The sequence below is a fragment of the Homo sapiens genome, chromosome 8, assembly GCF_000001405.40.
Source record: "Homo sapiens chromosome 8, GRCh38.p14 Primary Assembly".
NCBI lineage: Eukaryota > Metazoa > Chordata > Mammalia > Primates > Hominidae > Homo > Homo sapiens.
The window spans coordinates 116,424,478-116,450,752 of record NC_000008.11 but is presented as its reverse complement, the minus strand read 5'-3'; the positions used below and the strand labels follow the sequence as shown (position 1 = coordinate 116,450,752).

At 40.4% G+C, this 26,275-nt stretch overlaps 1 long non-coding RNA gene across 1 annotated transcript; it reads left to right on the top strand.

The window, feature by feature from the left end:
• The first annotated feature begins 1,800 nt into the window (after positions 1 to 1,800).
• LOC102723447 (uncharacterized) lies at positions 1,801 to 21,423 on the top strand. Its single transcript, XR_928547.4, has 3 exons — positions 1,801 to 1,881; positions 2,532 to 2,740; positions 20,634 to 21,423. It is a non-coding gene; the product is annotated as an uncharacterized LOC102723447 (long non-coding RNA).
• Positions 21,424 to 26,275: the final 4,852 nt, after the last annotated feature.

The window sequence follows — 26,275 nt, the reverse complement described above, 5'->3', positions numbered from 1 at the left end:
CATCTGCTGGCATAAGCAGGATATATGCCACAAATAAAAATTCAAAAATATCTCTTTCTTATAGAACTTGGAAACAGAAATTCTGAGATGGGAAGAAACCTACATATTATCCAGAAGGATCCCCAGGCCCTTTCTGATATGGAGAGCAGTGAAGTCCATGCTAAATCCAGGCACCTCTTGAGTGCAGGTCCTGGAGGAGCTTCCAAAGGGAAGACAACTCTGAAAGGAATCAGGTCAGGATTTATAACTGGGTAATTTCAAGCCTATGTTAAGAGATCTTTCAGTGGCAAGGCCATTTCTGGAAGAAATGTTAGACAATGCCAAAAGCTGAGTAAGAGTGAAAAACACATTCCCAACCCCAATAATGAGAGTGAAAACTTTAGTAGTAGGATACTGCTAACAGAGTGTAGAAGGTGGACTACCAGGCATCACAAATTGCATTCACAAATCTTCATATTCTCTGATAAACTTTCCCAGTTTCACAATTGGGAAATTATTTTGGCAACTTTACCTAACAGAAGGACAAATGGATTCTAATTAGAACTTAGAGATCTCTTTAAAAAATGAGATAGATTTCGAATGACAGATTATTTGAGCTCAGAGAGACTTGATTGCTTTTTGAGGCAAACGTCTTCATTTATTGAGGAAATTGATGTCCAGCGATCAATTGATGCCCAGCCTCTGGAAAAATTTTGGTCTTGAGAGGACTTTATCCATGTTATTTTAATGCCCAGCACTCTCTTCATACATAATCCCAAGAGTGTCCTAAAACTTGCTGGGCCAGTCCCAAGGTAGGTGTAAGGAGGAATGGGTATGTTATATGACTGCTGTGGAAAATCTGACATGTCACTATAAACTACAGAGAGGAGCAAGTAGCCAAAAATCACAAAGAGAGTCCAAATAGTGGTGTGGCCAATTCAGTCTAGTTTTCTGGTCAGCTTCAAGATTTGGGGGAACCAAAATAGGGACTTGTTTGGAAATATAGGATGAAGAATCTCCTCAAAATCAGAGCAAGGATACTCTTCCAAGTCGATGCAGTAGGAATGAGGGGAAGGGGCCCAGATACCCAGGAAATGAGGCTGCCACAAAGAAAAGTTAGGGAAGCAGGTCCCGGGCCAACCAGCTGCTACGAAAGGCAGGTGGTGATTGTGGTGACTGGTGGTGATGGCAGGAGAACTTTTGAGAAAACGTAAATACCTGAGAAGTTCAGGAAGAAGGGGGCAGAGCCATTTGGGAGTGGGAAGATTATCTGAGGTTATCAGAAGCTTCCTCTGATAATGCTGACAAAGCACTGAAAGCCGCAGCCCTCGGCTCATGCTCCCCGCTGAGACGTGAACTTGAATATGAACTCCCTGGTGGTACATAAGATATGAACTTGCTGATGGGAGATGAACCCAGTGATTTCATACTGATTCCAGGGGAGGAAAAAAATCAGAAATCAGATCACTACATCTCAGAATTTATTTTATAGAGTAACCTAAACAATGTTCATAAATGACTTCTGTTCAGTGGAGGAACACACAATGAGGAAGATCTTTTTTCTCTCTGTTAAATAATGGCACTTTAAAAATTTGCCTCTTGATCTCCATCCTAATAACAGACAGGAAAAAATTATCTTCAGGCATCTGCCTATCAAAAAATTTATCAGAGAATATGATGATTGACAGAGCCTCAGCAGAAAATATTAGAAACAAAGAACCAGAGTTCTGGAACCTTGGGTTAGGAATTCTAACCTCTACACAATAGAAGAGAGACTGAGAATTCTAACAGTTAGCTTTATTGGCAACAAAGGGAGGCAGTAGCGTATGAAGTGCGACGAGCAAGGAATATAGATAAAAATGAGGGGTAGAAGGTGGTCAATAGGCAGCAGGCACCAAGGAGGTAAAGTGGGACCTGACCTGGCCCAGGCAGCTGCCTCTGCTTCATGCTAAGAGATCACTGAATACTTTATGAAGGCTAATTTTAAGATAACATATAACTACACTTTGTTGTTTCTCTGAAATATTTGTTAGTATGATGAAACACACGTACACAGATGATAGTTGATGGATTAATAAATAATAGCTTATTTCTTACACGGGGTCATTTTTTTTTTTTTTTTTTTTTGAGACGGAGTTTCGCTCTTGTTGCCCAGGCTGGAGTGCAATGGCGCGATCTCGGCTCACTGCAACCTCCGCTTCCTGGGTTCAAGCGATTCTCCTGCCTCAGCCTCCTGAGTAGCTGGGATTACAGGCATGTGCCACCACACCCAGCTCATTTTGTATTTTTAGTAGAGACGGGGTTTCTCCATGTTGGTCAGGGTGGTCTGGAACTCCCAACCTCAGGTGATCCGCCCGCCTCGGCCTCCCAAACTGCTGGGATTACAGGTGTTAGCCACCACGTCTGGCACACAGGGTCATATTTAAATCTCTTTAGTGAATACTTTCGATTGTCTACATGCAACCCTGCGTTATAAGAACCCCCCGGGCAAAGGCCTGTTAGGGACATCTTTGGAAACAGGTGGGTCTGACGTCCTCGTCATCCAAATGTAGCTTTCCACTGTGGGCTGACCGAGGAAGCTGCCCTCTTACTGAAGATGAGCTTGAAAAAGATCAAGGAAATGAAAATAAAACAAAAAAAAAAAAAAAACAAAAAAAAACTTGCAATTACACTCTTCCACCACTAGATGCTATACACGTATAAGCAAGATAAAAGTCCTCCGCCATTTCTTTTCCCCATCAGTGACCTCAGTGATGAATGGGTAAGTTAACATATCCAGAATTCAATTACAAATGTTACTAGGAAAGATAAGCAAATGTGAAAATGGAGAACTGTCAGTACTGATTAAGATAATAACTCTAATAACAAATTTATTGAACACGTATTGTTTAAGACAGGGGTCATTAAACCACTGCCTGTGGGACAAATCCAGCTCACCACCTGTTTTTGTAAATAAAGTTTTATTGGAACACAGCCACACTCATTTATCTGTGGCTGATTTTGCTCTACAGTGACAGAGGTGAGTAGTTAAGACACAGACTGTATAAAGTGCAAAACTTAAATTATTTTTATCTGGTCCTTTATAAAAAAAAGTTTTCCAATGCCTGGTCTAGGCATATAGGCCATACTAACTCAATTAATTCTCATAACTTTATGGCTATGGGTATGTATTATTATTATTTGTTTTACAGATAAAGAAATTGATTAAGAACACATGATACATTCTGGCACATACATTAAATGACTATTGTAGACATGTATGACAAGTGCTGTAACTATGGATATAGGACATGTGTGATACTCTTGGGCTTGTGTAACCAAGATGAATGAAAGCTGGCTTCCAAGTAGGTTGTAGGGGACCCAGAAAAATGAAATTAAAATTATTAAAGGCCAGGCTGGCTTTCTGTATAATCCACAGGTAGAAATGTAGCTGGGATGGAGCAGCTGCCTGTAAACGCTTCCTCCTAAAGTGACACATTCAGAATATAATATGAGGAATTATTTTGACACACGAATTCGTAAAACTGAGGATGGAAACTGTTTTTAAATTGTGATTGAAACATCAGCAGTCAGGTGGAGGACACAGAGAAGGCAGTCAAAGGAAGGTTTCTTTTCAATGTCTTGGTTTTCCCCAATTGAAGGGGGCTTTTGCTCCTCCAGTGTTAGAGCCTGGGTATACCTGGACCCTTAGAATATCTCCTGGGAAGGCAGAAGTTCAGTGTGGGGTTGGGGAGTAGGTAGTATTACGATTTAGACTACTTAAGGATATCTTTAGGGATGTCCTCATCATTTTAAGGGATATCTTTCCCCATAGCTTATAATGAGCAGTGTCATACTAGGATTGTCCTTGTCAACTGCTCATTCCACACTTGTGATTGCTGGTCTTTTTTTCTTCTTCTTCTTTTTTTTACCGAAGGGTTTGGGTAACTAATTGCCTCGGAGTCATACATTGTGAGGAGGAGAGGGGAGAATCAGAAATGGGGTCTAGTCAGCCAACTTAATCCTTTATCCCACGTAATGAGATGGAGCCGTATTGCCTAGGCCTTCCAAGAGTTTTCCTCATGGACACTTTTCCTGGATCCTATTCCCTCTTTCTTTCTCTCAGGGTGACTCTCCTGCTAAATTCTTCCACGTTTTGATGCCCCCTTTCCCTGGGACTTTCCGCCATCCATACAGAGTAAAGCAGATCTGGTAGATTGTACCTTGCACTCTGCACTCAGTCCTCGTTGACTCTACAATAGAGGAGGTGCCAATGTTTGATGTCTCCCTGAGGTGAGGCAGGGAGCGTAGGTAGGGGTCAGTGTGAGCAGGCAGGAAAAAGAAACTCTGGGGCCTTGAAGAGTGGGTGGGTGGGTTATTCCTTTCCAGGGGCTCCGGTTCCTTTTTTTTTTTTTTTTTTAGTCTGAGTCTCACTCTGTCGCCCAGGCTGGAGTGCAGTGGCTCACTGTAACCTCCGCCTCCCGGGTTCAAGCGATTCTCCTGCCTCAGCGTCCCGAGTAGCTAGGATTACAGGAGTGCATCACCACGCCCAGCTAATTTTGTATGTTTAGTAGAAACGGAGTTTCACCATGTTAGCCAGGCTGATCTTGAACTCCTGACCTCTGGTGGTCCGGCTGCCTCGACCTCCCAAAGTGTTGGGATTACAGGCGTGAGCCACCGTGCCCGGCCTCCGGTTCCTTCTTAAAGAATGTGAAATAAACCAAGCTTCCTGTAATCATATATATTTTCTTTTTCTAAAAATCATCCTATCTGGTGTTACGTGAAAAATGTATATTCTTCCTAATAACATAGCTTGAAACTTTTTCTTGGCCAGGGGGACTGGAGGAGGGGTGGTTAAAATAATAATTCCAGCCTCTTTATACCAATGGAGCATTTGCCCTGAGTTTCATTAGAGAATGAATGTCCTGATATCAGGTGGACACATTCACAGCAGTGATATTTTAGGAAAACGTATCTGGAACTAAGTATAGGATGAATTAGAGAGGAAAGATATAAAATAGAGAAAAAATAGAGGTGAATGCGAAGATATTGCATATTTTTTCTTTCACTAAACCCCCCATGTGAAATGATCAAATTTTAAATCTCATTGCTATTACCACAGCTGTAGTTGGAAATAGCTGACCATGAATCAATCATTGCAACAGTAATTGTAACCAGAAATAGGAAATGTTTCATAAAAAGTCTATTTGTATCACTTCTGACTACGTGGCTATGTATTGCTGTGCCCAGTTTGCAATGTTCTACAAATGTGGCATAATGAAGAAAAAAAAACATCAGAAAAGTAGATTCTGTGTTTGCCTCATTCATGATCTTTTTCAGATTGGTTTGAGGAGTAGCCTATTTAATAAATATTATTTCTTTTTCTTCTTGCCATCTTCACATTTGTATCTGAGGTGACTCCCTTTACTACTGCCCCTGCTGCCCTTCCTTTTCTCCTTCTCCCTCCACCTTCTGCCCCTCCCCCTCTCTCCTCCCCCGCCTTTCTATCCCTTCCCTTCCCCCTCCTCTCTCCTCCTCCTGCTTCTTCTATTAAATGAGAGCCAGCTAATAAGAAACAGCCAAGTTGGAGTTATCAAAGCAGGTTTTCTTCAATTCTTCCTTATTCCGCCCCTGGTACTTGGTAGATATGTTTAACTAGAAGGGCTTGCTTTCAAAATCTCTGTGTTATTGGGTGGAGAAATGAGGGCTGAAGTCCATCTCTGGTTACGTCAAGTGGTGTCAAATTTGGCCTGCTCTTCTCACTTCCTGTTGACTCCAAGAGAAAGGCTGCAGTTGGCGTCTCACAGTAAAAAACATGAAGCTCTGAGACCAGTCTGAATTACTAATCACTACATGTCCTGTTCAGTCTAACCACTTTCCAAGCGATTAAATAAACCAGCCAGGTCGGTGACTCAGCTTCCGAGGGGAGAGCCAGCACTCCCGGCTGATCCACACATCCCTGGTTTCAATTCCCAAGGTTTGATCCAGGGCTGTCGAGGCAGGATGATTTCCCCCTTGGAACTTGTCCCTCCTTGGACAGAAAGATGGACATGGATGATGAAGTGTATAGTCTAGTGGAGAAGGGCCACCTCACCATGAGTCTGTTGAGGGAAAGGATTGCAAAAATGTCATCTTTCATCAGTTAGTGTCACTCTTTGGAACCAGTTACAAGTAGCTGGGTGTGGTGGGGTGAAGCTGTCTGAAGTTTGAAAGGAGAAAATATATTGAGTAGGAAACATTAACTTTTTCCTTTTTTGGCTTAACTGTCAGTAGATACAGTATTCCCTTGTTTATTTCAGTAACTACAGAAGGTTCTTGAAGGAGATGTCACAATTTTAGAGTAGTCTCTTTGCCCGTCTTTCTAAGTGACTGGCTGAACTTTGCTGCTTTCCCTAAGCTTAATGTCCAGTTACTATGAACAAGGCAGCATGTAGTCAGTGGTGCTGAGTGTTGGGACCACATGGGAATGTAATTCCAGGAACTCCCAGTTTCATATGCAAATTAGATTAAGCTGCACTGCAGCCAGGGCTCCCAGGGCAAATAATTCCCATTACCACCTCTTTTCTTACATTATCTCTTGTGGGAATAAAGAAATCACTTTCAATTTATTTCAGCTACTGCCTTGTTTTTAAAAAGTACATTCTGGGCCGGGCGCGGTGGCTCATGCCTGTAATCTCAGCACTTTGGGAGGTAGAGGCAGGTGGATCACCTGAGATCAGGAGTTTGAGACCAGCGTGGCCAACATGATAAAACCCCATCTCTACTAAAAATACAAAAAATTAGCTGGGCGTGGTGGCATGCGCCTGGAATCCCAGCTACTCGGGAGGCTAGGCAGGAGAATCGCTTGAACCCAGGAGGCAGAGGTTGCAGTGAACCGAGATTGTGCCATTGTGCTCCAGCCTGGGCAACAAGAATGAAACTCTGTCTCAAAAAAAAAAAAAAAAAAAAAAAAAGGAAAAGAAGAAAGTACATTATATGCCTCAGTTTGTCTACTTGGCTTAAGAAAACTCCGTACCAAGTAACCTTTTAAATTCTTAAAAAGAGAGATTTTGAGATCCTTGAGAAGAAAATACTGTATGGAAATCAAAGTCCTATGCTCTCAGAAAAAAGTAGAGTCTTTTGAATGGCTGGTGCCACCACATCCTTCAGGCAGTTTTCATACTTGTCATGAAACTTTTAGTCATTTCTCATATTCCCTTTGTTTTGATTAGCTAATACATGATAACTTGACAACACTGAAATGTGAAAGCTTGAGGAAGTGGAGTGACAGGGAGGGAAGAAGCCCTTCAGCCAGCAATTCTTTCTTTTTATTTTATTTTTAAAAGCATGAATATTTCTCTAGCACGGGGACTGAAGGTGAACTTGAAGAACTTGAATCTCCGAACGTTGCCATTGCAGTGTTATCTGAAAAGAATGTGTGAGCTCCTGCACACCAGATAGCAAACATGCAAATCACTCCTTTCCCAGGACACTTGAGTGCTGCTGCTTCATCCACGCAGATGTGCTGTGGGCCTTGCAGATAGCATCTGTTTGTTCTATTTATGGGGGAAAAAGGCATGTATTTGTGAGCTCAGCATGAGCACAACTTTCCTTTTGGATCTTTTATTTCAGAATTTTTTTTTTGTACATTTTGCATTTGGAACCAAAAATTTTTAGAACAGTTATTCTAGATGCCATCTAATTCCCTCTCCTGTTCATTCCTTACCCACTCCCCTGCCTCCAAATTTCAGAGTTAAAATGAAGCGTGGAGAGATGAAGTGACTCGCACAAGAATATATATTATTCATTCTTGCTTTCATTCATCACTTATTGATCTGTTTAGCTATTAACTATTTATTGATTGAGGACCTACTATGTTCCAGGCCCTGAGCAAAAAGCACCACTGTTCCTGCCCTCATGTGTTTTATAGTTTACAGGGGGAAATACACATTAATAAAAAGAATGACACAAATATGCAACTGCATCTGTGACAATTACTACATGTTGCTCTAAGAGCTTAACATAGACACATTTGAGCTGGTCAGAGAGGTCACAGAAAATTTCCTTGAGGAAATGATGCTTAAGTAGTGATCTGAAGAATGAATAAGAACTCACAGGGCATTAGAGTGAAGTGAGCAGGAAAGCGCTAAGGCTGAGAGGTGAGTCAGAGCTACACACTGTAGCAACTTGTAGCTCATTCTGAAGCTTTGTTTTAGAGGGGAAGGGAAATGCAGGTAACGAACAATGGGAGGAGGGCAAGGGTGGATGAGGAAGACATTGAAGGCTGTAATAGCGGTCCAGGCAACAGATGACGAAACCTTGGTCTAAGGTAGTAGTGATGAAAGAGCTAGAAAGGAGTGGATATATTCAAGAGATATTTAGAATGTAAAAGTAATCCCAGCACTTTGGGAGGCCGAGGCCGGTGGATCACGAGGTCAGGAGATCGAGACCATCCTGGCCAACATGGTGAAACCCCGTCTCTACTAAAAATACAAAAAAAGAAAAAATTAACTGGTCATGTTGGTGCGTGCCTGTAGTCCCAGCTACTCAGGAGGCTGAGGTATGAGAATCGCTTGAACTCGGGAGGCAGAGGTTGCAAAGAGCCGAGATCGCGCCACTGCACTCCAGCCTGGCGACAGAGTGAGACTGTCTCAAATAATAATAATAAAGAAAAGTCACAGGATATGGGGAATAGAAGACTAAGTGGGGCCAAGGATGACCCCTAGGTTTCTGGGCAGGGAATAAAGATGAATAGTGGTGCCTAGAAGGTGAGGGGAAGGGGAAGATGATAAACTTATTTTAGGAAATGTTGAAGTGAGATGGTAGGTTATAGGTTGAATAGATTGGTCTGGCCCTCAAAGGCATGGTCTGGGCTGAAGATAACGTACTTGTGAATGAGTTGCATATGGTTTCGATAGCTGATGTGATTTATTCATCTGCAGCGCCTGGTATCACATCTCTGTATGTAGAATAATTCAAGTAGTCTTGGACAACAGGCTAAGTGAATTGTCAAACAACTTATTCTATATGGCAAGTACTTGAGGGAAATACGCGAGGTGGATTCAAGTCCTTTGCAGATGAATTAAGTTGTGTGATTTGAAGATACCTCTGTGCCCAGATAGTTTTCTTTTTCCCCTTGACCTGCAGGAGGGCCTGAATTTGCTGGAAGTTATGTTATTCTTTAACTAGTTCTCATTTTATTTGGCTTAGAACGATAAAATTTGAGTGTTTGAAGGGAATGTAAAAGTTGTTTACTCCAAACTTCTCATTCAAAATCTGAGCCTGCTTCACACAATTTCCAGACTTATAACCTCAACTTGAACATGTCTGTGATTGGGAATCCAATATTTGGCAAGATAGTGCAGAGTTTTCATTCTGTTCCCCAAATTCTTCTTTATTTTGGATTCTTCCACCTGGGATAACACAGAATAGTTCTCCTTTCTCTTCCACATAGTAGACCGTCAACTAGTGTTACCCCATAAATCAATCACTACTCTCATCTAAGCTGCCACAGGGGTGAGTGAATTACATTCAACAGTCATGGAAGTCATTGAAGCCCTTGCAAATACATCATCTTACTTAGATGTCACAACACACTTTGAAGTGAGTATTATTATTCCATAAAGAGATGAGGAAAACTTAATCTCTGAGTTAACTGACTTAATGAATGAGAGGTCACACGAGTAAGGAAGAGAGCTAGGATTTCAATCCAGTTATTCTGACTCCCAGCCCAGAGTCCTACTCAAGATGCCCTGAAAATCTGGGTTAGGGCTCAGTACTGACTTCAAAGGTAACACGTTAGTAGCGACCAGTGGAAATCAGCAGAAGGCATGGGGTGGGGGGCTCACCCTGCTGCTCCCCATGGGCTGAATGATGCCTGCCACTTGGACTTCCTCAGGAAATGTTTATTAAAATATAATTACACATGTTCAGACTATTTTTGATTTTGAACAGCTGGAGGCTGGGCATAAACTCTTCAGTTCTCCATTTTCTCCACTGCGTCCTTTGGCTGTATGCATTTGTCTATGGGCACAGCCCTGGAAAGCACTTGTGCTTATCACCTTGTATCCCTTTAGGAATGGCATAGAACTCTAACCTTCAATTTTTTTTCCAGATTTCACACCCTATTAGTTCAAAAAAACTTGAGCACATATCCCAAATATATTTATATGTGTATGCATGGGTTAAATACAAATATTAATGTAATCAAATATTATCTTCATTTAAAAATAAATACATCAAATATAAGTTTAAAGGAATATAAAAAACATAAATGAACAACTTACTATTTTCTTCTTCTTATTCCAACAAATTATCTTCATGAGCTTCCACTGGAGGGACCGCTGAGATGGAGTGTGGAACAGGGGCAGGAGAGGAGCCTGGTGTGACAGGCCATGGCTAGTTGGAGGACTACACCCAGAGACCATAAGGAAACAGAGTAGATGTGCTAACAACAAGCTTTCCTCGGATTGCCCAGCATCAGCCCTGTTCAGAGGAATGCACAATGCTAAGATCTCTCTGGAAGCTCAGAGAGTGAAGGGCTCATTGCTTTGGTCTGTGTTGTTTGTCCTTGGTTTTAATTGTCACTTGTGCCCTGAGCTATGTGGTAATAGCACTAACAGCTAACATTTGTTGACTGCTTACTATGTGCCACTGTGCTGAGAGATTTACGGACATTACCTCATTGTCTTTATTGCAACCCTGCGAAGTACTGTTATCCTCACTTTACAAAAGGGAAGGCTGGGGGCGAGATGTCTCATACCCGTAATCCCAGCACTTTGGGAACCCATCGCGGGCAGATCACCTGAGATCAGGAGTTCGAGACCAGCCTGGCCAACGCATAGTGAAATCTCATCTCTACTAAAAATATACAAAAAATTAGCAGGGCGTATTGGTGCAAGCCTGTAGTCTCAGCTGCTTGGGAAGCTGAGGCAGGACAATCGCTTGAATCCAGGAGGCGGAGGTTGCAGTGAACCAAGATTGCGCCACTGCACTCCAGCCTGGGCAACAGAGTGAAATGAGATTCCATCTCTCTCTCAAAAAAAAAATAAATAAATAAAAGGAAAACGAGGTGTAGAAAGCTGTGATTTACCTATGAGTGTAGGGCTAGTTAGTGACAGAGCTGGGATTTGAACCCAAGTCTATTCTCTACCAAATCACTCATTCTTAACTACTGTGCTATACTGACAATAGGATTAGTGGTTAGATTCCTGGTGGTGATCTGGATGGATTCCATCAATAGATGTAATAGTGATGGGAAGAATCACTAGCCCCACAGACCAAAAGGTTAGGCTTATATCAGGTGTGGATAAATGAGAGGAAACGGCCAGGTTTATAGAAATACAGATGTGCCAGTGCAGTTAAAAATAAAGCTTTTCAACCAAGTCTGAGTTCTTCTTTATTTCTAGCTCACTGGGCTCTTGTCATAATCCATAGCTCTAGGTAGCAAACATCCTAAATACCGTTTTGAATAAGACTGTCGGAGGCTGTAGTTGTTGTCTAGGGCACGTGAGTTCTATTTCAGTCTGTAAATAGATCAACTTTACATTTAAGAGTTTGGAAAATAAGAGAGAGAGAGAGAAAGAGAGAGAGATATCCAGGAATTCAGGAGTTCTCATTATCTGATAGAGTGATTCAAACCATTGGAGTCAGACAGATCTGGGTTTGAATTCTGATTTTGCTATGTATTCACTGTAAGAAATTTAGTGAGTTATCTAAGCTTTTCAAGCCATAATTCCTTCATGTTTAAAGTGAAGATAATGATACCTGCTTCAAAGTGGTGTTAAGATATAATGATATGCTATATGTAGAGTGCTTTGCATAGCACTTGGCACATAGTAAATACTTAAAGATTGATACTAATCATTGATCTCTTTGACCCTCCCTTCTCTAAGAAGAGGCACCGATTCTGTGGCATAAGCCCATGTCCTCTGCTGTGTGGGTTACCTCCTATATGTCCTATTTGAAAATGTTGAAAATGAGAATGAACTTTCTTCTGGATATCCTCAATATCTTGCTACCACAGAAAAAGAAATCTCTTTCCACAAAAGAGAAGCAAGAACTGGAGACACTGAAAGTTTATGGGCTGGAGAAGGCAGCTCTGAGAAGAAGAAAATAATTCTGGTGATCAGTGGCACCCTTCTGAGGGGGCCCAGATGCAGGCCAGATGCTGAGAATCTGTAGAAACTCAGGCTCAATAAATGTCATGCCATGACTTTCATCCATGTGGGCATGAAGAATAGCGACTGATCTCACTGAGATTATTAAGAGTGACTCAGGGTTCTGGAAACAGGGTTGTAGGAGGCTGACACTCAAGGGGTGGTCTTGACAATCCTCCCAGTTGAGCCAAAGAGTTTCTGTAGATGACAGCTCTGCTCTAGTGATGGATATCTACTTCACATGCCCTGCCCCACCCTAGAAGGGAGCTAGCAAAAAACACTGGGGATACTTCAATGGAAAGTGATTTGAGATTTCTGCCAATGCAGAGATCTAGCAATGTAATTTTATTGTTAGTAAAGTTGATTTCTATGGGATCATCACAATGGTGATTACTCCTGTCACTTTCTGTTAGGCTCAGCCTGTGTGAACTCTCTTCTAGCTGGAACTTCACTGTAATGCATCCACTTTCCACTCCACATTTTGATAAGCATGTTTTGTTCTAAGTTTTTAAGGATGATGGAAGTTTCTCTTGTTATGATTGGCATGAGTAGAGGCGCATTAGAATAACTCTTAAAATAAGAGGTAAAGGCAAGAGTTGAACTCTGGACAGAGAATGGACAACATTGATTGTTGACTCTTCTCTGCCTTCTGTTTCACCCCTTCTTTTCTCCATTTAGTTCTTTCCACTGTGGTCAGAGTGATAGTTCAGCCTTCATACCCATTACGTTAATTTCCTGTTGCTGCTGTAACAAGACCACAAACTCAGTAGCTTAAGACAACACACATTTCTCCTCTCAGTTCTGTAAGTCAGAAGTCTGAGAGGGGTCTCAATGGGCTAAAATCAAAGTGATTCAGGGCAGAGTTCCTTTCTAAAGGCTCTAGAAGAGAATCCGTCTCCTTGGCCTTTCCAGCTTCTAGAGGCTGTTCACATTCTTGGCTTGTGGTAATCTCCTTCATCTTCAGATCAACAATGTTGCATCTTTCTGACCATTCTTCCACAGTCACATCCCTTTCTGACCACAGCTGGGAAAGGATCTCTGTTTTTAAGAACCCACATGATTAGAATGAGCCCATCCAGATAATCTAAGATAATCTCCATACCTCAAGATCTGTAATTTAACCACATTTGCAATGTGACTTTTGTCATGTATGGTGACATATTCACAGGTTCCTGGGATTAGGATGTGGATCTCTTTGGGAGCCATTATTCTGCCCACCACACCTACCATCCTGCTCCAAGCCCACATCTCTTCCCTGGACAGCTGCTATTGCCTCCTAAAGGGTTTCTTTTTGTGCTCCTGATTGTGCCCTCTTCACCTTTTGTTATTTCTCCTCTGATTCACTCTGATACAACCACTCTTGCCTCCTTGTTGTTATGGACCACACCAATTATACTCCTGCCCCAGGGCCTTTGCACTTGCTGTTCTCTCTGCTCGCCTTGCTTTTTACCCAGATGTTTTCATGACCACCACCCTCAGGGCGGTTCAAATATCACCTCTACAGGGTGTGGTTTCCTGAACAATTTACATAAATGAGTCCTCTCCTCCTCACTTCCCTCAGTCTAGTCCTTTGTCTCATGTTCCTACCTATTGACGTAGGATGAAAGATATGTATATACGTATGTATGTATTGTCTCTTTTCCTTAAGTCTTTATTTCACTTTAATCATTTTGAAAGATAGGCTCATTGACTATAGAAATCTAGGTTGCCAGGTATTTTTTTTTTCAACATTGCATTATCTTCAGGATAGCATTGTTTCTCATGAGAAGTCTGCTATTATTTTTAGTTTTCTTCCTCTTCATGTAATTGATACTGTTATGATTTTCTCTTTGTCATTGGTTTTCAGAGATTTAATTATCCTTTGCCTTGATGTGGCTCTCTTTGTGTTTCTTTTGTTTGGTGGTCATTCAGCTTCTTATGTATGTGGTTTTATGATATTCGTCAAATTTAGAAAAAAATTTATTGAAATATTAGTGCCTCCCATTTTTCTGGGACTCCAATTACACATATGTTAGTTCACTTGATACTGTTGCATAGTTCACTGAATCTCTGTTTATGTCTTTCCACCTCCAGTATCTTTTCTCCTTATGTTTCATGTTGTATAGTTCACTTAATCTCTGTTTATGTCTTTCCACCTCCAGTATCTTTTCTCCTTATGTTTCATGTTGTATAGTTCTATTGCCTTTTCTTGTATTCACTACTTCTGCATCTAATCTGTTGTCAATCATATCTAGGGACATGCTTTAAAATCTATCATATGTAGCAGTATTTTTTAAATCTCAGATGTTGTTCTTGTAATTTCTATAAGTTTAGTTGGTATCTTTTTACTTCATCCTAATTATACTTAGACTTTTCTCTACTTTCTTAAACATATAAAGTATATTTCTTGTAGCTAGTTAGTGTCCTTATCTACCAATTCTATTTTCTGTGTCATTCTGGGTCTGTTTCTGTTGATTGGCATTTCTCCGTGTGGGCCATATTTTCCTGTCTGTTTGCATGCCTGGTAATTTTTGATTTGATGTAGATATTGTGTATTTCATATTGTTGATTGCTAAGTTTTTTATTCTTTTAAATAATTTTGGCTCCCTCCCCTCCCCTTTCTTAGGATTCCTTTATTCATTGATAGTTTTGTTAAGGGAAATCTAGAGCATCTTTTAGCCTAGGGTTAATTTGGCCATACTCCTGGGACAATATTCTTCTGAGGACACTGTTTAATGTCCTGCATGTTAGGAGTTCCTCTATTCCGGCTGGTGAAGACAACAACTCTTCATCATCCTGTTTTCCCTGGAGATTTTTCTGCTAGCTCTTTTCCAGTGGTTCTTTCTTTGGCCTTGGCAGTTTTCTCACATGCATGTGATAATCAATAGTTAGCAAAAAGCTTCAGGGGACCTGTCTGCAAATATCCAGAACTTTATCACATTGAAGCTTTCTCCTCTGCCCCAGAGTTTTTTCCACCTTGGGCTTTCTCAACTCGGGGACATGGGTGAGTTTTGCTTGGGTTCCTCCTCCCAGTGGTGTGGCCTGAAAATGCTCTCCAAGTATTAAGCTCAGTCACTCATAGGGCTTAAGTTATTTCCCTTCTCTCAAGATTACTATTCTACATTGCCCATTGTCCAATTTTTGAAAACTGTAGTTCCATAGTATGTTGTCCAGCTTTTTAGTTGTTGAAGGTGAGAAGTTAAATCTGTCCCCTGTTATTCCTTTTTGCATGGGAGCAGAACTTCTCAGCTTCCTGGCTCTGTGCTCTGCTTCTGATGCTGCCTCTGGCACTTCCAAGATCTACCAGTCTTCCCAATCTTTCTCTGGGTATTTGAATTTAAATTTTCTGCCTAGATTCTGACTTCATTCACTTTTCTGACCCTTTATCTCTGATCAGCTCAGCTGAGGGGTCCAAGCACATGCTTTGCCTTCTGGATTTTCACTCAGCCTCAGGAAGCACTGGTTCCTTTGCTGGGGGTGGAAGTCAGACAATTACCTATTTAAAAATCTGTAATAATTTGATAGGTGAAAATAAAAACTTGTTTTGATTTTTATTTTTATGGTTATTTGTGAGGCTGTTTATATTTCTTCTTTCATGTGTAGACACTATCCACTTTCAATTTTCTATTTGCTTTGTCCCAGAGGTGCCACACTGGAAACTTTAGTTCCTACTGTAGTTTGGATAGATTTATGGGACAATTGATTATGCCAAAATCCCAGTGCTCTCTTCATCAAATGGGGATCTCCATATATCCATATAGTTGAAGGACTTTTCTGCCCTGAAGTCTTCTTAGAGAGTTTTTTGCTTTAGTATGAAATATTTAATGCTAGAAAGAAGACATTAATTATTGATTTTTCTTCCCATCATTTTACCACTTAAGATCAAATATCAGGAACAATGCCTAATCACTGAACTTGATTTCTTTTAATTAATTTTGGTTCTGAAAGTATATTGGCAACTATGTCTAAATCAAGGAGAGATGAAAATATATGAAGTAATGCATTTCACAAATTAAAAAGACTGATAAATGAAGGATATGTTTTTAATGTCTTTGAGGAAGAACTAATGGATGAACCAAGGACAACTGAGAACTTTGCTAGCTGTGGTTTTACAATTAAAGCACTGGTCTACATTTTGTCTTAGAGGTTTTAGTGGATTTATTGGTGTAGAGCAAATCAATGGATCACCATTGCTCAGAGCTGCTCTTCCTTGTACTATTCACAAACGTTATCATCAATGTCATGACTGTTTTTAATTTACTATCATATTAGGGTCGATCACTAACTTCTTTTTTTGTTATATGATGATTTGAACTCCTGGAAGATTCTGATCATGTCTGCAACACACAATTTAACAATCTTTTCAGTAAGTCCAGGAGATAATATTTTCCTCTTTTAATGTCTCTACAAAATGAAATTATTCGCTGAGATAACAATGGGGTAATGTAATCTTCTAGCTTGGATGCTGGCTTCATATCAGTGTCCAGATTTGGTAACTTGCAATTTCCTCCGTCTGCATAACTGAGCACAGTTCCCTAGCAATGCCTAGTTTTTGTTGATATTTTACATGTTGGGTTTTCTTGGAGAGAGGGGAAGAGGGCAAGGTGTCAATACATAATATACCTTTTTTTTGCCCTTCCAATTAGAGGGTTGGATCCAGTGGTAAGACAGAGATCAATGGATTGTGTCAGCTCTATTACTGATAAAGTAATGGAGCATGTGACATTCATTTCTTGGCCAAAGGAATTTGCTGATATTTCAACTCTGAATAGACACACTTTACATCCACTGCCCCTTCAGTCTCTTACATACCAGGAATAATGCAAGTCTTCTCCAGATGGTAGCCCCTTACATTCAGTCAGGGGGGCAGTTAGGAAGAGAGGAAACAAAAAAGGGCTGAGAAAAGCATGCTCTGTTTCTTCTTCCAAAGTCAACAACCACATCAGCCACTCTCCCTACTGGGTTTAGAATTAAACCCAGTAGCTCGCTCCATTCCAGCTTTGCCTCATTAAGAGGTCTCTATGGATTAATTCCCAAGAGATCAAATCTCCTTACTTTACTGTGGCAAAGTGAAATTAGTGTAAAGTAACAAGGAACCAGATTAATGTGACCCCAGGAAATAATCCATAAATAACTTATGAAGCCTTTAGCAGGCTATAAATTGGATTTCAGACGGGCAAGGGGAGGGGGAAGAATCATGTTAAAAACAATTGGTTTGTAATGAATAGGGCTAATATTTTAGCACTTTGAAATGGAAGAAAACAGCATAAATAACTCAGAGAACCCAATGGCAATATTTTCTAACATGTGTAAATAATTGAAACTGTGATTATAATCCTAACTGAATTTTTCTTGCTTTGTGTTTGCTGGGAAGTGTATTGTTCATTAAGCATCACAGAACTCTAAATCAAAGGAACAAAAGAAGGGGAAGGCAAAAGAAAGAGGTAGAAAAGAAAAATATTTTGTCTGGGGTGATCTGTTGTCTAGCTTAGTCTATAGTGAGAAGAGTCAGTGGTCTTGGTCCCTTTACTACAAAGCAGTTGGCTGTTGCAAAGATACATTCATTCACAGGCTGTGGCAGTTGTAGCAGAGCATGTAAAAGCAAATAAACAACTCATTAGGTCCATGCTGTGCTTTTCTGCAGCAAGGAAACTAACTTGCGAAAGAGGAAAAATGTTTTGGATGTTGATAGGACACCCCCGCCCTCCTCTTTTTTTCTTTCAAACAGTGTCAGGAATAGAGAAGTGACAGGCACTCAATAGTTGTAGCCAGCTCTCCTGTGTCATCAAGTTAAGAAAGGATGAGGGGATGCCACATTAGCCTTGCTGTGTTGTACATCCTGAGACCTTTCGGTTTGTACACCTTATTTTATCTCATTGTCTTCCTGGAGCCTCTTCTTATAGCTTGGTTGTGTGCTGTCTTTGGAGCCAGAGGAAACGATGTGGCAAACAGAAGGTTGGTGGGCTGGGTTGGCTATGAGGAAACCAGGCCCATTTTAAGGAAGATACAGATGGCCTAAGATCAGGGAAACAGTATAGAAGGTTGGAAGTGTAGAGGTCACACAGGTTTAAAGGCAGAGTTCAAAGGATTTGCCATGTAGGCTCCTTGAAGTCTGGGTAAGCTATAAATAGTAGCTGTGGATGCCATCTGTGGATCCAACAGGAGTCTTGGTAGGGGATGGGAGGTGGGTTTCTGGGGACTAAAGGGACTGAAAAGCTCAGGCCCATCTGCCCAGCCCTACCTGCCTGGGCAGTCTTTTTGGGTTAAATGGGAGCTTGTATCTTTCCTAGATTAGTATGTATGTTTAATACCATCCCAATTCTTGATGAAACTCAAGAAAGCACCTCTGAAATTATCTGGAACAATAAACAAGTGAAAATAGCTTTAGGTCATTGTGGAAAATAGGAGCAATGAGAGGTACTTATCCTGCAGGTTACTAAAACATGTTATAAAACTACAATAAGTAAAGCAATGTGGTGTTTGGGCAGGTAGACAAAAATAGATCATAATGGAGTGTTCAAATCATCATATAACATATGAAAATTTAATATGTGGTAGAGGAGATAACCCTAATGATATAAAGAGAATGACTTAATTAATGTGTTACTGGGGGAAAACTGCTTTGACATTTAGAAAATAAGTTAATTGAGATTCTTAGCACTTATCATATAGCAAAGTTCCCAGAGAGTGTGGTGTGTGTGTTGAGGATTGAATTATGTCCTTGTCAATGGCCATACCACCCTGACTGTGCCCAGTCTTATCTGAATTATGTCCTCCAAAAAATATGACTTTGTTACATCAGCCCTAGGAAACTAACATTATGTATATTCACATAGATGTATATATGTAATTTTAATAGCTTTTAAAATCATTTGTGTGAATTTATTTTTTTAATTGAAAAATAAAAATTTTATGTATATATAGTGTACAACATGTTTGATGTACACATTTTGGAATGCCAAAATCAAATTAACTAATGTGTGCATTGTCTCATTGAGTTTTTTTTGTGTGTGATGAGAACACATAAAATCTATTCTTTTGGCTGTTTTCAAGTACAGTTATCCCTCAGTATCCGTGAGAGATTGGTTCCAGGACCCCCTGCAGATACCAAAATCTGCAAATGCTCAAGTCCTTTGTATAAAATGGTGTAGTATTTGCATACAACCTATGCACATCCTCCTACTTTATTATAAGTAATCATCTCAAGATTACTTATAATACCTAATACAATGTAAATGCCATGTAAATAGTTATCTTGTATTTTAAAAAATTGGTATTTTTTAATTGTTGCATTTTTTATTGTTTTCTTCTTACAAATATTTTTGATCCACAGTTGGTTGAATCTGCGGGTGCAGAACCTGTGGACACAGAAGGCCAATGTGTACAGTACATTCTTATTAACTATATCACTGTGTCACATAATAGACATCTTGAGCTCCTGTATAACTGAAATGTTCATATCCTTAATTTTTGTAGTTTTCAATTTGGACAGGGGTAGCTAATTAGATGAAGAAGCTTGAGTGGCAAGTTGCCTTAACAGGTAGTAAACATTTCATAAAGCTGCAGTGATTCAAACAAAAAAACTGATAGATCATTAGAGGACAGAATTGTAAGTTTAATATATACAAAACATAGGGGAGGTGAGTGGGATGTGGGCAGGCAACTTGGCTTTTCTCCATGGAGACCTCTGCATGGTCTGCTTAGGTTTCCTCAGAACATGCTTTTTGAGTTCTGGAGACAGTATCCTCAGAGAACAAGGTGAATGTGAGTGGCATTGTATGAGCTAGCCTCAGAAGTCATATAGTGTCACTTCTGACAGACTCGATTGGTCAGCTAGTCACAAAGACCTGCCCACGTTCAAGGGGAGGGGACGTAGACGTCCATCTTGCTGGAAAAATGGCAAATTTCTAGGAAAACACGTGCAATGGAAGATGTTGCTACTGTCATAGGAGAACAGCCTGCCATACTTGCGACTTGAGAAATCCTAACTCTCTCCATATGGAAATTGCATTGGCTCTAATTGGCCCTGCTCCCTTGCTTAGCTTGGTTTTTACATTTGCATCTGTCTCTTTGCCCTCACCTTTGCTTCCTTATTATTATTTTGGGGCAAAATTTCTGGACATTGATGGCAATTTTATTTTGTGAGGTCTTTTGGGAAAATATTTGAACTCGATCTCCATCAGGGTTAAAGCAATTGTGGAATTAGTCTCAAGCATAACAAATGTAAAACACAAAGAATACTGGATTTGTGATAATTTTAGGTGATACAAATTTGAGGAATTGTAAAAGGAATTGTGAGCATGTCACATATCCATGCATGCAATTTTCTTGATGTCTGTAGTTGTGGAATGGTCACAAGAATCTTGAGCTCTCTCCACATTGTGTTGGGGGTTCAAGACAAATTCCACTTCACAAAACCTAAATCATAGCCACGTTAAGTTTGTGGACTGGAAATGCTGTATTGTCAGTTTTATGACTTTAGCTTTGAGATTTTGTTTTGTTTACCTTTTTTGTAACAGGATTCTGTTTTCCTCCTTCTACCCCACTTTCTCCATCCAGCCAACCATAGCCTTGCTATATCCTGGGGTCTTGGATAATGTAGAAGAGTAAAATCTAAGTCTTGCTTACAGAATCTGAAGAAACTCTTCTGACTTCAAAGCTCAATTCTGTGCCATGGAAATCAGATATACTATATCATATCTCAACTTAAGTGCAAAGGAGCAAACTCTGGCAAAACTTTATGTAAAGGAAGAACTTTCTCCTCTTCTCTCCCCATATCATCATAGCAGCTACATCCTACAAACACACAGCGGCTGTTATCAGAAATCAACTTGTGAAAGTCACCTCTACCCATAGATGAGGTTGTGATGGTTTCATCCAAATGATTTTATGGCCTGTGAAGCAGTCATTTGGATCAAGGTTAACAAATTCTTGGTATCAGAGGTGCTACTGAGGACTCCACATACCGATACCAATAAATAATGTCCATACAACGAAGGTGGTGTTGGTTGATACGGTTTGGATCTGTGTCCCCACCCAAATCGCATGTTGAATTGTAATCCCCCAGTATTGGAGGTGGGGCCTGGTGGGAGGTAACTGGATCATGGGGTTGGATTTCCCTATTGCTGTTCTCATGATAGTGAGTGAGTTGTCATGAGATCTGGTTGTTTAAAAGTGTGTAATACCTCCCACTCACCTTCCTCCTGCTGTGGCCATGGAAGATGTGCCTCCTTCACCTTCCACCATGACTGTGTTTCCTGAGGCCTTCCCAGAAACTGAGCAGATGCCACCATGCTTCCTGTACAATCTACAGAACCTTGAGCCAATTAAACCTTTTTTTTATAAATTACCCAGTCTCAGGTATTTCTTTACAGCTGTGCAAGAATGGACTAATACATTGGTATAGAATTTCAGCTGTACTTATCTAAGCTCCATTCAAAAAGAAATAAAAATAAAGGGAGACAGCATTTTAGCTAATGAAAGGGGAAGGGCAGGCATAGCTAGGTGGATGCTACGCACACTCTCTCAGGCTTAACATACTTCCTGCACATATGGATGATCAACACAGATTTGTTGAATAACAAGATAAAGGAAGGAAAGAAGGGATTTGGATTATGTTAAACAATAAAGCTAGAAAAATTATGATATAGAATAATGGATTCCTTAGCATTGAGATATTGTTATATCATGCAGTGAAGTATTCAATATTACTGTATTGTGTATTTCATTAGTAGTTATGGGTTTTTGTCTACTAGGTCATGGCATTTTGTGAGGAGGGTCAGTTTGAAATGCTTTGCTTTTATTCATTACATACTTATAGGCCAATGAGTTCTATAAAGACTACAAGTTTTGTTTGTAACATCTCCTAATAATGCTTCTTTTTGGTGTAATGGCATCTGGATAACATTTTAGATTTTGTTCTCTTTGCTTCTGATGCCTCTCAATGGTTGATTTCAGATAGTCTTAACACACACACACTTTGGAATAAAGTGAAGGAAGCTGTTAAGATTGTATTCCAACTCATTCTAAACAGAGGGTGTAGAAATGCAATTGTGAGAATAATAGATATGATGAAAAAATCCTGTACAGTGCTTTCCCAAGGCACTTGGGACACTTTGAAGATATTAATTAATGCTTGTTAAAGTCCTATGGGGTAGGAAAGGGGCAAGTATTATTAAATTGTTTTATAGGGGAAATGAAGCAAGAGAGCTTTAATAAACTCGCTGGTATCAAGCGGTAATTATGTAGGATAAAAAAGGGTCAAACCCCAAACTCCTTTTTCTCAGGGCCTTGCTCACCGAAGCACAAGTAAAATTGCTCCCGAAAATGCAGTCTTGAGTAAATTTTGGCAAGCCTTGTACTTATCTTTCTTACCTACACATCTTGTTCCTCTGAGCAGGTGTTCTCGGGCCTTTTTACACCGCTCAATCCTCAGCCTTCCAATTCCCTCCCTCTCAGCAGATGAAATTACCTCCTATTTCACAGCGATCCTTGAAGCCATATACGGTGAACTCTCAACCTCCCTTGTCTCTGATTCAAAATTTATTTTTATCTTCACCCGTGTTCTGCTCATTCCTTTTTCTTGTTTCAGAGTCTCATCGCCTTTAAAAGTCGAATCTGTCTACCCCTCTTCAGACCGGCATGCATTACAGCCTTCTGGCGGGGGGCAGGGGAATTTCCACCACCTGCCACCCCCATTGCTCTTATCTTTAATCTCTCCTTCTCCCTTAGCTCTTTTCTGTCAAGCTAAAATCAGGCTCCAAACTCTCCTTCCCTGAAAATGCTTTTTCTTGGCCCCGCTTTTCTTTCATGCAACTTCCCTATCTCTTGCACTTCTTGTGATCGTTAAATTTCTGAAAAGAGCAGTCTGTGTTCTGTTCTTCTGGGGTCTTTGCAAAGATTGTTTGGACTGCCCTTGTTTTCCTGAGAAGCTGCAGGAGCTCTGAACCAGACTGCCTGGGTTTATTTCCAATGAGAGTAAGACCGGCCTTATCACGACTCTGCTGTTTACTGGGAAGAAGTGATCCTTGCTTTATTGCTGCCTTTTCAAGCACGGATTTACACCACTCTAAGCAGTTTACAGCAGCTCTATCTGGAGAGGTGTCTCATCTGCTTTTATGTTCAAAATTAAGCTCATGTCTGAAATAAATACTCATGTTTCCCTTAGAATTCAGTTGAGTTTGTAGTTTGTTAAAGAGAATGACTTACATTTTTGAAATTTAGATTTCTTTTTTTCTAATTGGAAGTGAGGAAAAGAGAAATACCAGCCACAATTACGAAGTAAAAAATACATCTACATGTAATGGACTGGCTACCACTCTCAGATCTTTAGCCTCTTCTATCAAAATCACTGTACCCACAGAAAGGATAATCACTTAGGCCTGGGGAAGCAATTTTTATTTTTTTAGACTTTAAGGTAAAGATAAAGCAATAATTACCTCACTAGTTACCTGGAGTTCTCACAGCATTTCTTTCCTACACTTGGTTTAAAATTACTGATTGGATAGATAAGAGAGGTCTAAATATGTCATGAAGATTGTTTTAGAATAAGGGAGGTGTTCTGTTTAAGGGCAGAGAGAAGAGTGAACAAAGGGTTAAGGGCTTATTGGTAGTAGTTATCTAAGTAACAAATAAGGCACCATTATGTTAAAAATGGAATCTGATAACTTTTGTAACAAGAGACTGTCAATCTACACATACAATAAAAGCTGGAGGATGTTACCTGCTGCCTATAGCTGGTAGCCACCAGATAGACATTCATTCATTCGACAAACATTTACAGAACACCTTCTAAGTGAGGCACTGGGAAGGAAGGAGAGAATTACCCAGTCCTTGTTCTGATGGAGTGCAGGATCTAGGGCACGGAACAGATAGGTAAAGAGACAGCTTACATGTGATAAATGCACGATTCAGTTTTGCCTGGAGGTGTGATGAAATGATGCGGGCTTGGAGGAACAGGGCAAGCTTTCCCTGTGGAGGTGCCTACAGGGAAGCATGCAGGAGGGTTGAGCCGGAGGAGCGTGGAGGAGAGGGAGTGACAAGGTACTTGGAGAGAAAGAGAATGGGGAAATGTGGGGAGCAGAACCAAAGAGGGGAGGGTACAAGATAGGGCTGGAGAAGTAACCCAAGTCTGAATCAAAAATTAAATGATGCTGAAATAATACTAGTGGCAATAAAAACGGGGGTGAGAAAATACAAATAAAGAACTAAACATCACAAATAAAAGATTCTGGCTGGGAATGGGAAATGTAAACCAAGACTTTAAAAAGATGATTGTAAACCAGACTGCATGTGGGTCTGAGTGACCTTGACACAAGCACAATAACTCCAAGAGCCCGAAACTCTTTAAAGGGCCCCTAAGGCTCCAGATCGCAGTTCTGGTCTCAAATATGCTGTGTTCTTGTATTTCAAGGGAAACCCACTTTATACCTGTCTTTATTTTCATCTTCCTTTCTTATGCCCTACTGCAGGGCAATGTAGATTAGGTGTAAGTTTGGTTTGGTCTTGAGATATCCCTTCTGGTCACAAGGATAGATGAGCTAGGCTGTGCTTGCTTTGTGGGTAGAAGTCTGGAGTGGCTGTGTTTCCACCCTGCTCCTTGAGTAATTCCTGCACATGTTTTAGCTCTCATGATCTCAAGTGGCTCACCTTTGTAAAAGTGATCTTCACAATGCAACTGGCAGTTTTATAAAGAAATAGGCAGTGTTTATAAAGAAACAAAGAACTACTTCACCAGTTTTACAGAGTCTGGAGCAACTTCTACAATGCTTGGCAAATATTTTTTAAACATGGCACTGAAAATGAAAAAACATACAACTTCTGAGATAGTTATTTCTTTTCTTTCTCCTGTTGTATATTTGCTCTGCTGAAAGACAGATTTAAGAGCAAAGCAGAGGAGGTAGCATTTACTCAGCCCTTGTTACATTTCACTTGTTTTCCCAAACATTACGTCACAACAATCCAGTGAAGTTGCGAGGCAGAAAGTGTTATTGTCCCCATTTTATAGAGGAGGAAACTGAGGACCAAGAGATTAAATAATGTGCAGAAGATCACAGAGCTAGTAAAGCACTGTGATTCTAGGTCCTGCCTATTTGATTCTGAAGCTTAAGTTTTTCCCATAGCAGTAAGTTACAGCATTCTGGGGGGTCTTTATACTCCCAGGGCCCTATCTTTCCCCTTTGTTGGTAAAAGCTGTAGTAAAATTTACAAACAGGAAAGTGAACATGTATCATAAGTGTACAGTTTGATGAATCTTTCAGATGAACAACACGCCCACGAATCAGCTTTCAGATCAAGAATGAAACACCATCAACTTCCCCAAAAGTTCCCACCCAATCATGAATCCCCACATCCAGGGCAACCAGTATCCTGACTTCTACCATAGGTCACTTTTGCCTCTTTCTGTATTTCATACACAGGGACTCATACAGTCTTCTGTGCCTGACTTATTTCCCTCAATATTATGCTTGTGAGATTCATTTATAATAGTGCATGTCATCGAATGGTGTTCATTCTCATTGCTATTATAGTATTCCAGTATACAAATATACAGTTTTCCATTCTTTTGTTGCTGAGACATTAAGCAATTTCTTGCTTGGGCTTTGTAGTAGACAGAATAATGGCTCCCCAAAGATGTCCATGTCCTCATTCCTGGGAATATGTTACCTTACATGGTAAAAAGGACTTTGCAAATGTGATTAAGTTAGGGATCTTGAGATGAGGAGATTTTCCTGGATTATCCAGGCCTGGAAATATAATCATGAGTCCTTATAAGAGGGAGGTGGGAGAGTCAAATTCAGAGAGGAGATAGGATGATGGAAGCAGATGTTAGAGGGATGCATTTTGAAGACGGAGAAAGGGGCCAAAATATAAAGATGGCAGTTGGCTTCTAGAAGCAGGAAAAGGCAAGGAAATAGATTCACTCTTAGCTCCTCCAGAGGGAGTGTAGCTCACTGACACCTTGATTTTAACCCATAAGATTCATTTTGGACTTCTGACCTAAAAACTATAAGATAATAAATTTGTGTTGTTTTCAACCACCAAGTTTGTGGTAATTTGTGAAGCAGGAGAAGGAAACTAATACAGTGCTCCTATGGAGACTGCCACTGTGAAAATTATAATACTTGTATTTTGGTAGAAATACAACCATAATACTGTTGAGTGTCTCCCTGGGAGGGAGACTGCTGAGTCATAGGATATGC